This window comes from Homo sapiens, chromosome 18 (genome assembly GCF_000001405.40).
Source record: "Homo sapiens chromosome 18, GRCh38.p14 Primary Assembly".
NCBI classification, from domain to species: Eukaryota; Metazoa; Chordata; class Mammalia; order Primates; family Hominidae; genus Homo; species Homo sapiens.
In genome coordinates, this window is record NC_000018.10 from 7,046,822 (window position 1) to 7,059,935 (window position 13,114).

Consider the following 13,114-nt stretch of genomic DNA (forward strand, 5'->3'; position numbering starts at 1 on the left):
GTTTTTACATGTTAGTGTTAATAGACTTCTTTTTAGATTTCATTTTCCATTGTTCATTGCTAGTGACTAAAAATGTGATTCATTTTTGTTCATTGATTTTGTATACTGCAACACTGCTAAATTCACTTGTTATTTCTGGTAGTTGCTTTGTAGCTTTTCTACATACATAATCATGTCATCTACAAATAATAACAGTTTAGTCTTACTATGTGTGCCTTGATTTCTTTTTTTTTTTTTTTTTGAGACAGAGTCTCGGTCTATCACCCAGGCTGGAGTGCAGTGGCGCGATCTCAGCTCTCTGCAACCTCTACCTCCTGGGTTCAAGCTATTCTCCTGCCTCAGCCTCCTGAGTAGCTGGGATTACAGGCATGCGCCACCACGCCCAGCTAATTTTTGTATTTTTAGTAGAGACGGGGTTTCACCGTGTTAGCCAGGATGGTCTTGATCTCCTGACCTCGTGATCCACCCGCCTCAGCCTCCCAAAGTGCTGGGATTACAGCATGAGCCACTGTGCCCGGCCTTCTTTTTTCATTATTGAACATTGTTGAGCATTATTGAACAAGACCTTTTCAAATAAACAATAAAACTCTGCCAAAGAGAATTAAAGAAGATTTAGATAAGTGAAAAGTTATATATCAGGTGCACAGATTGGATGACTCAACATTGTTAAAATGTCTTATAAAATTCTTCACAAATTGGTGTAAAGAATCAATGGAATCCCAATGAAAATCTTAGCAGGCTTTATTTTTTTTGCAGAAATTAACAAACTGATTCTAAAATTCATAAGGAAATACAAGAAACCTGACCTCTCAAGACCTACTGTAAAGCTACAGTAACCAAGAAAGCTTGTTATTGGCACAAGAATAGACAAACAGATCTATAGAACAGTAGAGAGTCCAGAAATAAACCCACAATAATAAGGTTGAATAGTTTTCAACAACGGCCCCAAAACAAGTAAAGCATTCTCAACAAATGGTGCTAGAACAATTGCATATACATATAGGAAAAAAAACAAAAGCAAAAAAAACTCTGACTCCTCCCTCACACCAATCACAAAAATTAATACAAAATGAATTATAGATGTAAAAGCTAAAACTATACAGCTACTAAAAGAAAGCCTACCATGATATCTTGGTAAATTTGGGATAAGCTAATATTTTTTGAGGTCATAGAAAGCATTAATCATAAAAGAAAAAATGGTAAATTGGGATTCGTCACAAAACCTCTGCTCATCCAAAGTCACAGGAAGGTGAATAAGCAAACACCAAGTAGAACGGATATGTTTGCAATATATACATATCTGATGAAGGATTCGTATACAAAATATATAAAATTCTTTTATAAGTCAGTAACAAGGAGGCTTATTTTTTGTCCAATTTAAAAATGGACAAAAAAAATCTGATCGTATACTAGTAAGCACATTGTCAACATTAGTCAGCAGAGAAACACAAATTAACGTCACAAAATGCCAATACACGCACACAGGAACAGCGGGCATAAAAATGACTGATAGCACTAAATATCTAACAGTGTGTAGTGCAGCCAGAACTCTCACACATTGCTGGTCAGACTACAAAAACGGACACAACTACTTTTATTTTTATTTTTTAAATAGAGTTGAGGTCTCACTCTATTGCCCAGGCTGGTCCCAAACTCCCAGGCTTCAGTGACCCTCCCATTTCAGCCTCCCAAAGTGTTGGGATTACACACGTGAGCCACAACACCCAGCTGAATACAACTACTTTTTATATAAGTTTAGCATTTTCTTAAAAAGGTAAACATCCAGCTACCCTATAACTTAGTAATCCCACTCCTGGGTTATTGAAGGGATATGAAAATTTTTGCGACACCAGTCTTACACACTTAACTACATACTTAAAATCTGTATGCTTTCCTGAATGTAAATTATGTCTCAAACTTTAAAATTTGATATGAAAGAAAATTCTCAGTTGCTGAAGATCAGATGTGGAACCAGACTACGATGTGAAGAACAAAGACCATGGCATTCACCACATTATGGCACTATGGGGACGGGGTGGGTGAGGGACCTAAGGATATGATTTTGGCCCATCACCTAAAGGCAGCATCTGTAACAACATAGCAATCTTACATGAAATAAGGATACAGCTGCTGGCAAGAAAAAAGGCCAACATGTCGGGGAAAGAACAACCAAAAAGGAAAGAAGAAAAATAATAGTTCCTTTAAATAAAATGAATCTTTTTATTTTATTTGGCAGGACTGCCGTCCCATACTCACGCGTCTGGTAACAATAGGATCCAGTTCTTTAGGTTCCCGGTGGCTAAGGGTCATGAGATCTGCATTGAGCGTTCTAATGCGTTGCAAGCGAAGGCGAATATATCGTGCAGAAGTGAATTCCAACAACTTGGGTGAAAGATCGTCAGCGCTTGGTCTGCCATTGATGAGTGATGTATGAATCTGAAGATGAAGGCATCAAAATAGATGAATGTCAATTGTTTATTTATTTATTTATTTTTTGAGATGGCGTCTCGCTCTTTGGTCCAGGCTGGAGTGCAGTGGCACAATCTTGGCTCACTGTAACCTCCACCTCCCAGGTTCAAGCAATTCTCCTGCCTCAGCCTCCCGAGTAGCTGGGACTATAGGTGTGCACCACCACGCCCAGCTAATTTTTGTATTTTTAGTAGAGACAGGGTTTCACTATATTCACCAGGTTGGTCTTGAACTCCTGAACTCAGGTGATCCGCCTGCCTTGCCTCCCAAAATGCTGGGATTATAGGCATGAGCCACCATACCTGACCACAAATGTCAATTTTAAGCATGCAAAAATATAGCCCTGATTGTCTAATGTCAGGACAGAATCTTTTAGAGATACCATCTAAAATCAAAACAAAACAACTAGCTTCTTGTAAAAATATGTCTAACATTTGTTAATTACTTGTGAATTACCATGATCTCAATGTCTTCAGTTTATTGAAGGTATCTATTTCACTGTCTCAGATATACTATATACTTAAAATCTGTATGTTTTCCTGAATGTAAATTATGTCTCAAACTTTAAAATTTGATATAAAAGAAAACCCTCACTTGCCAAAGATCAGATGTGGAACCAGACTACAATGTGAAGAACAAAGACTACGGCATTCATCACATTATGGCATTATTGCTGAAAATCTTTTAAGAAGACCGTTTCTCTCCAAGTGGTTAGAATATTTCAGCATCTGTCCCTGGGCTACAACTTCTCTGAAGCAAATTTAAAATGTTATGAATAGGCTTCGAGAAGAACAAAGAAAAAGTCCACAAAGCCTGAATGATACAGGCTGTCTTAATTAATCTCTGCCCTTGAAACAACTCACAGCTCGCTGCAGAGTTCCCGCTGTGAAGAGCACTGGAGAATTTTTGTAGTTTCATCTCATCAAGCCAGGTGCTACTAAAGAATGGGCTGTTTCTCATTATACTCTGACTTCAAGGAAGTGTATACAATCTGGGCATGTTGGGCACTAAGCTGCAAGACTTCAAGAGTCTCCAGTGCTCACCACCTACCGAGGAGAACACTGAGAAAAGGGAACTACAACTTTGGGGGACATTTTAGCTCTCTAATATTTCAACAAACATTCTTGCCCTGGTGCTGTGGGGAAGATGCTCTGAAGGAGGATCCAAGGGCGTTATTAAATCACAGCAGAGTGAAGACTGAGAGCCTCCTTGAAGAGAGGAAGTCAACAAGGTAAACCATATTGTTTGTGAAATTACTTATAATAGACATGACTCAAGGCCACTTTAAATAGAGCTAGATAGTTATATTAAAGATCTTTGTATTGAGAGAGATCAATTTTGAGTCTGAGACAGGGAGACTCTGATGAGGAAACAGATCTTGCTGCAGCGGGCACCATACCTACCTCTCCATGCTCAAGTGGCACCAATCTGGAATAATAGGAGGTGCAGATCACTTCATCATCAGCCCTGTAGGTGGGTGGCCCTCGTCTTGGAGTTATATTGTAACGAGACAAACACTCTGAGTCGCTGACTGCATAATACTGCCAGGGGCTGAACGTGGTGCCATCCAGAGAACGCTCCAAAATCCAGTTTCCAGGTCGAGGGGCATTGGCAGCTTTAATGATGACATATGCAACTTGAAAGACCTGAAACAAAGACACTGAAAAGTCTCAATCCAGAATCAATACAAGCCAGGCACAGAATGAGAGCTACTGCATGATCTAACTTAAAGGTAGAATCTAAGATAGTTGAACTTAGAATCAGACAGTAGAATGGTGGCTGCCATGAGGTGCGAGGAGAGGGGAATAGGGAGATGGTGGTTAATGCATACCAAGTTTCAGTTATGCAAGATGAATAAGTTCTGGAGATATAATGGATGGTAACAATAGTGTACTGTATACTAGAAATTTATTTATTAAAAGGGTAGATCTTAAGTATGCTCATCATATACACAAAAGGGTAACTATGTGAAGTGATAAATATATTAATTATCTGGATTGTGATGATTCTTTCACATTGCATATGTATATCAAATCAAGTTGTACACCTTAAATATACACAATAATTTTTTTAAAAAATAGAATCAGTAGCAACTGTTCAAAAACAAAAGTGCACCTTGAGAGAACTGGTATACATTGGTTGCCAAAATCGAAGCTTTGGAGTATAACTGCTCATACATGTTAATCAGAAATGTGTCTTGTGAATAATCTCCTAGTAGCATTTGTTTTCAGAATGAACTCAAAAAGTACTCACAAATAAATATGTAGTATTATTATTATTAACAATATTGATATGAACATAAGAGCTTGTTCTTGTTTCCAATGTCTTTATTTGGATCTTGAAAGATACTAGTGTTATGTTACATTAATAGTAGTGTTAAAAGTATTTTTCATAGTGATTTGGAGATAACACATCTAAAATTGAGAAAAAAGTCAGCCCACTACACATCTACAGAATGGCTAAAATCCAAAACACTGACAACACCAAATGCTGGGGAGGATGTGGAGCAACAGGAACTCTCATTCATTTCTGGTGTGAATGTAAAAAGGTACAGCCTCTTTGGAAAATAGTTTGGCAGTTTCTTACAAAACTAAACATGCTCACCATTCTCAGTAATAAAAATGCTCACCATACTCAGCAATCATGCTCCTGGGAATTCAACCAAATGAACTGAAAACTTAGGTCCACAGGAAAACTTGCACCACCATTGCCAAAACTTGGAAGCAACCAAGATGTCCTTTAATAGGTAAATAGAAACACACGCTATGGTGCATGCAGACCATGGAATATTATGATAAAAAGAAATGAATTCTCAAGCCACAAAAAGACACGAAGAAACCTCGAATGCATATTACTGGCCGGGTTCAGTGGTTCATGTCTGTAATCCCAGCACTTTGGGAGGCCAAAGCTGGTGGATCGCCTGAGCCCAGGAGTTTGAGAACACCCAGGGGCAACATGGTAAAATCCCATCTCTACTAAAATACAAAAAAATTAGCTGCGTGTGGTGGCAGGCGCCTGTAGTCCCCACTACTCAGGAGGCTGAGTCACGAGAATCACTTGAGCCCCAGAAGCAGAGGTTACAGGGAGCTGAGATTGCACCACTGCACTCCAGCTTGGGCTACAGAGTGAGACTCTGTATCAAAAAAAAAAAAATGGCTGGGCACCATGGCTCACACCTGTAATCCCAGCACTTTGGGAGGCCGAGGCAGGCAGATCAGCTGAGGTCAGGAGTTCGAGACCAGCCTGACCAACACGGTGAAACCACACCTCTACTAAATACAAAAAAATTAGCCGGCCGTGGAGGCGCATGCATGTAATCCCAGCTACTTTTGAGGCTGAGGCAGGAGAATCACTTGAACCTGGGAGTCAGAGGTTGCAGTGAGCTGAGACTGAACCATTGCACTCCAGCCTGGGCAACAAGAGAGAAACTGTCTCAAAAAATAAATAGATAGACTGGGCATGGTGGCTCACGCCTGTAATCCCAGCACTTTGGGAGACTGAGAGTGAATCATGAGGTCAGGAGATCGAGACCATCCTGGCTAATACAGTGAAACCCCATCTCTACTAAAACTACAAAAAAATTATCCAGGTATGGTGGTGCATGCCTGTAGTCCGACTACTCGGGAGGCTGAGGCAGGAGAATCGCTTGAACCCAGGAGGCGGAGGTTGTAGTGAGCCGAGATCGTGCCACTGCACTCCAGCCTGGGCAACAGAGCAAGACTCTGTCTCAAAAATAATAAATAAATAAATAAACAAACAAATGCATATTACTAAGTGAAAGAAGCCAATCTGAAAAGGCTACATACTATATGATTCCAACTGTATGACACTGTGTCAAAGGCAAAACTATGAAGACAGCAAAAAGATCAGTGGCTGCCAGCGTCTCAGGGTGAGGGAAGGAGGGATGAATAGGTGGGGCACAGGAGATTTTTAGGGCGGTGAAACCACCCTGTATGATACTCTAATGGTGGGAACTTGTCATTACACATTTGTCTAAACACACAGAATGTACAACACCAAGAGGGAACCCTCAGGTAAACTATGGACTCAACAATAATAATGCATCAATATTGTCTCATCAATGATAACAAATGTACCATTCTAATGCAACATGGTAATAGTGGGAGCAACTGGAGGGAAGGGAGAGAGTGAGGAGTATGGAACTTCGTACTTTCTGCTCATTTTTCTACAAACTGAAAACTGTTCCAAAAATGTCTATTAATTGAAAAAAATTAAAAGCCAGAGTAATGAGGAAACAAACTGGGGGGAAAAAAAAATGAATGTAGATGACTATTAGCAGCGGGAGGAAACTAGCCAGACAAATCCTGGATTTGGAAGGGACCCTGGTAGATATCTAGCCCAAAATCTAAAACTGAGAAGGAATTACCTCTCCAAAAACCCCAGGCCTTCTGCAAGTACTTCCAGTGACAGGAAATTCATTAGCTCCTAAGACAGTCCTTTTGTTTTATGACAACTCCCTCATTAGAGGATTTTTTTTTTTTTTTTTTGAGACAAGGTCTCACTCTGTTGCCCAGGCTGCTGGAGTGCAATGGCACGATATCAGCTCACGGCAGTCCCAACCTCCTGGGCTCAAGTGATCCTCCCACCTCGGCCTCCAGAGTGGCATGCAGCACCACACCTGGCTAATCTTTGTATTTTTTTGTGTGACAGGGTCTCACTATGTTGCCTAGGCTGGTCTCAAACTCCTGGGCTCAAGTGGTCTGCCCACCTTGACCTCCCAAAGTGCTTGGATTACAGCCTTGAGCCACCATGCCTGGCCAGATAATCTTTTTTTTACATTGATTCAAGCTCCCCCATAATATTCGACATGCTGGAGCTGCAGAAAAGATCTTGGATTCCACTTTCATGTAACTGTCCTTCAAGTATCTGAACATAACTATCATATATCACCTCCAGAATCTCTCGTTTTTATCCTCAGTATTCTGGTTTCCTGAAAACATTCATCATTTAACAAGACATCCTTGCCTTGTCATAAGGCTCTGGACACAACTTTATTTTAAAATGCAGCTCCCAGGAATTGAATAGAGAACTCTAAATGTTTTCTGAATTGTCAAGAACGTAGTGAAAATATCACACCCCTGTTTTAGTTATTCAGCCTTAGCAAGCATTCACTTTTCTGACAGTAAACTTAGATTACTAACTCAGGTTGGGGTAGCAAGCAACAAAAAACAAAAATGCCTTTCTCCAGGTGAACTGCTACTGACTGCAGACTTCCTCTAACCTGGATGGATATGGGTGATTTGTTTAAAAACCAAAGTCCAGTACTTTTAATTTGTAAAATAGCCATGCAATACATGTGTGTAAATGGACCTCTAAACGTGTGTGTGTGTACAGTTGACCCTTGAACAACACGGGTTTAAACTACATAGGTCCACTTATAAACTAATTTTTTTGTGTGCTTCTGCCACCCCTGAGACAGCAAAACCAACCCCTCTTCCTCCTCCTCCTCAGCCTACTCAATGTGAAGATGACAAGGATGAGGACCTTGATGGATCCACGTCCACTTAATGAATAGTAAATATAGTATTGTCTCTTCCTTACAATTTTAATAACAATTTCTTTTCTCTAGCTTACTTTAAGAATATACCATAAACATACAACACATAAATACATATATAATACATAATACAATACATACAACACATAAAATATGTGGTAACTGTTTATGTTATCAGCAAGGCTTCAAGTCAATAATAGGCTATTAGTAGTTAAGTCTTTTACGGAAGTCAAATGTTATTCATGGATTTTTTGACTGCCTTGGGAGTTGGCACTCCCAACCCTCAAGTTATTCAAGGGTCAGCTGTGTGTGTGTGTGTGTGTGTGTGTGTAAATATATATATGTATATATAAAAATTTAGGCCAGGAGCGGTGGCTCATGCCTGGAATCCCAGCACTTTAGGAGGCCGAGGCGGGCAGATCACTCGAGGTCAGGAGTTCGAGACCAGCCTGGCCAACATGGTGAAACCCCATCTCTACTAAAAAAATACAAAAATTAGCTGGGTGTAGTGGCACATGCCTGTAATCCCAGCTAATTGGGAGGCTGAGGCCAGAAAATTGCTTGAACCCGGGAGGCAGAGGTTGCAGTGAGCCAAGATCGCACCACTGCACTCCCAGCCTGGGTGACAGAGTGAAACTCCGTCTCAAAAAAAAAAAAAAAAAAAAAAAATTTACCCACGTACACACACATACACATATATGTGTATGTCTTGGGAAGGAAGTTGTTAATTTACTGAGTCTTATTGCCTGGATTTTCTTGGGTTTTATTTCTTTGTTTTTCTTTTCCCTGATTCTGGAATTCCACAGAATCAATAAGGACTAACAATTCTATCTCATTATAGTCACTCTTTCCACCTGCCAGAAACATTCTCCAATCGACTTCAGTCTGCGAGTGATTTCAGTGTGTCAGATGTTTTGGCTATCTCTGAGCATGAGCTACTTTCCTTTCGAAGACAATGGCTGTTTCTAAAGCACATTAGAAGCGAAATAAGGCCTGGGCGTGGTGGCTCGCACCTGTAATCCCAGCATTTTGGGAGGCCGAGGCGGGCGGATCACGAGGTCAGGAGATCGAGACCATCCTGGCTAACACAGTGAAACCCCGTCTCCACTAAAATACAAAAAATTAGCTGGGCGTGGTGGCGGACGCCTGTAGTCCCAGCTACTCGAGAAGCTGAGGCAGGAGAATGGCGTGAACCCGGGAGGCAGAGCTTGCAGTGAGTGGAGCTTGCACCACTGCACTTCAGCCTGGGCGACAGTGTGAGACTGTCTCCAAAAAAAAAAAAACAGAAGTGAAATAATGTGTTCGGGGCTTTGACAAGGAGGACAACGGAGAACATCCTCATAGCTACTCATCACTGTCCAACTGTTTTGTAAATGTTTGCATCATAAAAGTTGAACTCAATATGTGGGTTGTGACCATCCATTACTGCTGCACCTGTGAAACTTGACTTCACAAAGCAGAGGCGCCACATGAGCCAGGGTGATCAGGCAGCCCATTGGGGAGGGAGAGAAGGCAAGGTCATTTACAAAGACATCTGAAACAGAATGTAATTACTTTGTCTTCCAGTTTCACACTTGAATATGGAAAGAACTAACAAGTTTACCACGTGCGTGTTAAGAGCTTTATACATATATCATCACATTTAATCCCAAACAACCCCATTATTGTTTTTGTGCCCATTTTACACATTTGGAAACTGATGAAGAGAGAGGTCAAGAAACAAACTACTGAGTTGCAGGTCCCAAAAGAAACCAGGTGGTGTCAACTCCAGAGCCCTTCAGCCACCCTGCGTGCTGCCTGCCCCCAAATGTCCACACACACCTAGGGTCACTGAACTTTCATTTTTGTAATGCCAAGAAACAAACAAACAAAAAGATTCCTACATTCACCTGGAGACCGGGTTCATATGTTAAGCATAGTGGCAGCTCTTCCAGTTATTCTGTTAGGTGGGGGAACACGATGGAGAGTGTGCAAGAAACAAAGATTAATGAATGCTAATGCCACGAAGCACTTACTGTGGCCAGTACCAATACCACGTGCTTCATTAGGATTGTTAACGCTTTGAATTTTTTTTTTTTTTTGAGACAGTGTCTCGCTCTGTCTCCCAGACTGGAGTGCAGTGGCATGATCTTGGCTCACTGCAACCTCCGCCTCTTGGGTTCAAGTGATTCTCCTGCCTCAGCCTCCGGAGTAGCTGGGATTACTGGTGCACGCCACCATGTCCAGCTAATTTTTGTATTTTTAGTAGAGATGAGGTTTTACCATATTGGCCAGGCTGGTCTGAAACTCCTGACCTCAAATGATCCATGCCTCTCAAACTGCTGGGATTAAAGACATGAGGCACCATGCCCCAACAACTCTGAATTCTTACAACAACATTCTTCTTACAAAGTAAGTACTGTCATTTCCCCCCATTACAGATGAGGAAATTGGGGCACAGAAAGGTTAGGTAATCTTCCCAGGATCTCACAGGTGCTAAACTGTATACAGCAGGGATTGAACCCAGGCAGTTTGTACTCTTAAGCACTATGCTGCACTACTTCTATATATTGCAAAGAAAAGGAAAGAAATCCCAGGCTGAGACAACGGATAAGCCCTAATCCAGTTTTTCCACCCTTTCACTTTAACCAGTGTCATTTCTTTCTTTCTTTTCTTTTCTTTTCTTTTTTTTTTTTTTTTTTTTTGAGATAGGATCTCACTCTATCACCCAGGCTGGAGTGCAATGGCGTGGTCACAGCTCACTACAGCCTTGACCTCCTGGGCTCAAGAGATTCTCCTACCTCAGCCTCCCAAATCTCTGGAACCACAGACAAGCCACACCATGCCTGGCTGATTTTTTTCAATTTTCTTCATAGTCACGGGGTCTCACTATATTGCCCAGGCTGGTCTTGAACTCTTGGGCTCAAGTGATCCACCCGCCTTGGCCTCCCAAACTGCCGTGATTACAGATGTGAACCACCGCATCCAGCCCAAAATTCTTTCTTTCTTTCTTTTTTTTTTTTTTGAGATAGAGTCTCACTCTGTTGCCCAGGTTGGAGTGCAGTGGTGCGATCTCCGCTCACTGCAACCTCCACCTCCTGGGCTCAAGCGGTTCTCCTGCCTCAGCCTCCCGAGTAGCTGGGATTATAGGCACTTGCCACCACGTCCGGCCAATTTTTTTTAATTTTTTTTTTTTAGTAGAGACAGGGTTTCACCAACTTGGCTAGGCTGGTCTTGAACTCCTGACCTTGTGATCCACCCGTCTCAGCCTCCCAAAGTGCTAGGATTACAGGCATGAGCCTCCGCGCCTGGCCCAGCCCATAATTATTTCAATACCATGTTCCAGTATTTTACCAACCTTTTGCCAGCTTTTATTCTGAGAGCTTAGTCATATATAAGAAAATGATACTAAATGGAAGAACAGCCGTAGTGAAAAACTTCAGGACAAGCTCTCAAGGGAGGAGTTACTTAACTTTTATCTTGATCAAAGACTTCCTTAGGATGCTGGGCCATTGTTCCCACAATCTCTCAATAGTCCTCAAGGTCCCCAAACTGGAGACCAGGAAACAAACTAGGGGTCCTGAGAGTGGTAAGTCTGATAAACAGGCAAAGGGTGCTATGAAGAACCTAAATACAATTTGTCTTCACTTTGCCCTGTTATGGGCTGAACTGTTTCCCGCAAAAGTCATACATTGAAGTTCTAACTTCCAGTAGCTCAGAATATGGCTGTATCTGGCGATAGGCTCTTTAAAGAGGTGATTAAGTTAAATGAGGGCATTGTAGTGGGCCCTATTTGAATATTTCTGGTGTCATAAGAAAAGCAGATTAGGACACAGACAGTACAGAGGGAAGACCATGTGAGGACTCAGGGAGAAGAAGCCACTATGAGCCAGAAGAAACCGACTCTGCTGACACCTTGACCTTAGACTTCAGCCTCCAGAACTGTGAGGACATTAATGTCTCTTGCTTAAGCTGTCCAGTTGGTGCTACTTGTTACAGCAGTCTCACCTGATTAATACAGGCCGAATTCACCAATCATGTGTTGACAAATTGGTCTTATATGTAATGTAGAAAAACTGAAGGACTGTCTGTTAGTATGTAGATTTTTTTTTTCTTTTTGAGACAAAGTTTCTCTCTTGTTGCCCAGGCTGGAGTGCAATGGCACAATCTCGACTCACTGCAACCTCTGCCTCCTGGGTTCAAGCGATTCTCCTGCCTCAGCCTCCCAAGTAGCTGGGATTACAGGCACCTGCCACCATGCCCAACTAATTTTTGTATTTTTAGTAGAGACGAGGTTTCACCACATTGGCCAGGATGGTCTCGAACTCCTAACCTCAGGTGATCCACCTGCCTCGGCCTCCCAAAGTGCTGGGATTACAGGCATGAGCCACTGTGCCTGGCCAGTATATAGAATATTAAACCCTTGTCCCAATAAAGTCCACAATATTTCTTTTGCCCTTTTTTTGCATGGTTGACTAAACTGCCTTTTCTCTGGATTTAAGGTTGGCTGAACACAAATTGATGATGCAGGGGTTCTCACTAGACTCAGAGTCAATGTAGTCTTGCTAAACCTGCAGCTGATACAGCCATTTTTAAATCCACTTTCATCACGATTTTCCACCAAGTAGCCTTTGTTAATGATCACTGGAATGCACATAAACAGTGTCACATAAATAAAGTAGGCACACATCAAACGCCACTTTCTGAAAAGGAATCCAGACAGGAATGTTCATGTGGGCCTCAATCTTAACTTAAATATATTAAATCCATCTCAGGCACAGATGTCTAAAAAATACAGATAACCTAATTTTCCAGCATCAGAGGTCAACTTCCCATGTGCAGACAGAAGTGAAGCCTCTCCTCTCCACAGAAAGTGCAGCTGTTCTCCGCAGGCTCTCAGGAAATCTATGGGGCTCAATACCAGGCATGACTCCGGTCTGAAAATTCTCCATAAAAGAACCTACCTGCCTCCACGGTGGTAACTGAACAGTGAATGAAGGCATGTTTTCTCTCTTGCATGAAGGAAATAAACTTTTCCCAGACAAAAGAGATTTAGATGAACAGTTAAGTGCATTTGATAAATAATATTGCTGAGTTATCCCTGTGAAAGTGGCGATTTTGTGCTCTGTGAGATTTATGTCTCATGAA

At 41.6% G+C, this 13,114-nt stretch overlaps 1 protein-coding gene across 1 annotated transcript in view; it reads right to left on the reverse strand.

The window, feature by feature from the left end:
• The window catches only part of LAMA1 (laminin subunit alpha 1), a 176,056-nt gene that overhangs the window by 105,080 nt on the left and 57,862 nt on the right, over positions 1-13,114 (reverse strand). The window contains exons 4-5 of the mRNA NM_005559.4: positions 3,873-4,115; positions 2,257-2,436 (exon numbers count right to left, since the gene is read on the reverse strand). Of these exons, the coding sequence (NP_005550.2) occupies positions 2,257-2,436; positions 3,873-4,115 (423 nt within the window). The remainder of the gene's footprint in view (positions 1-2,256; positions 2,437-3,872; positions 4,116-13,114) is intronic.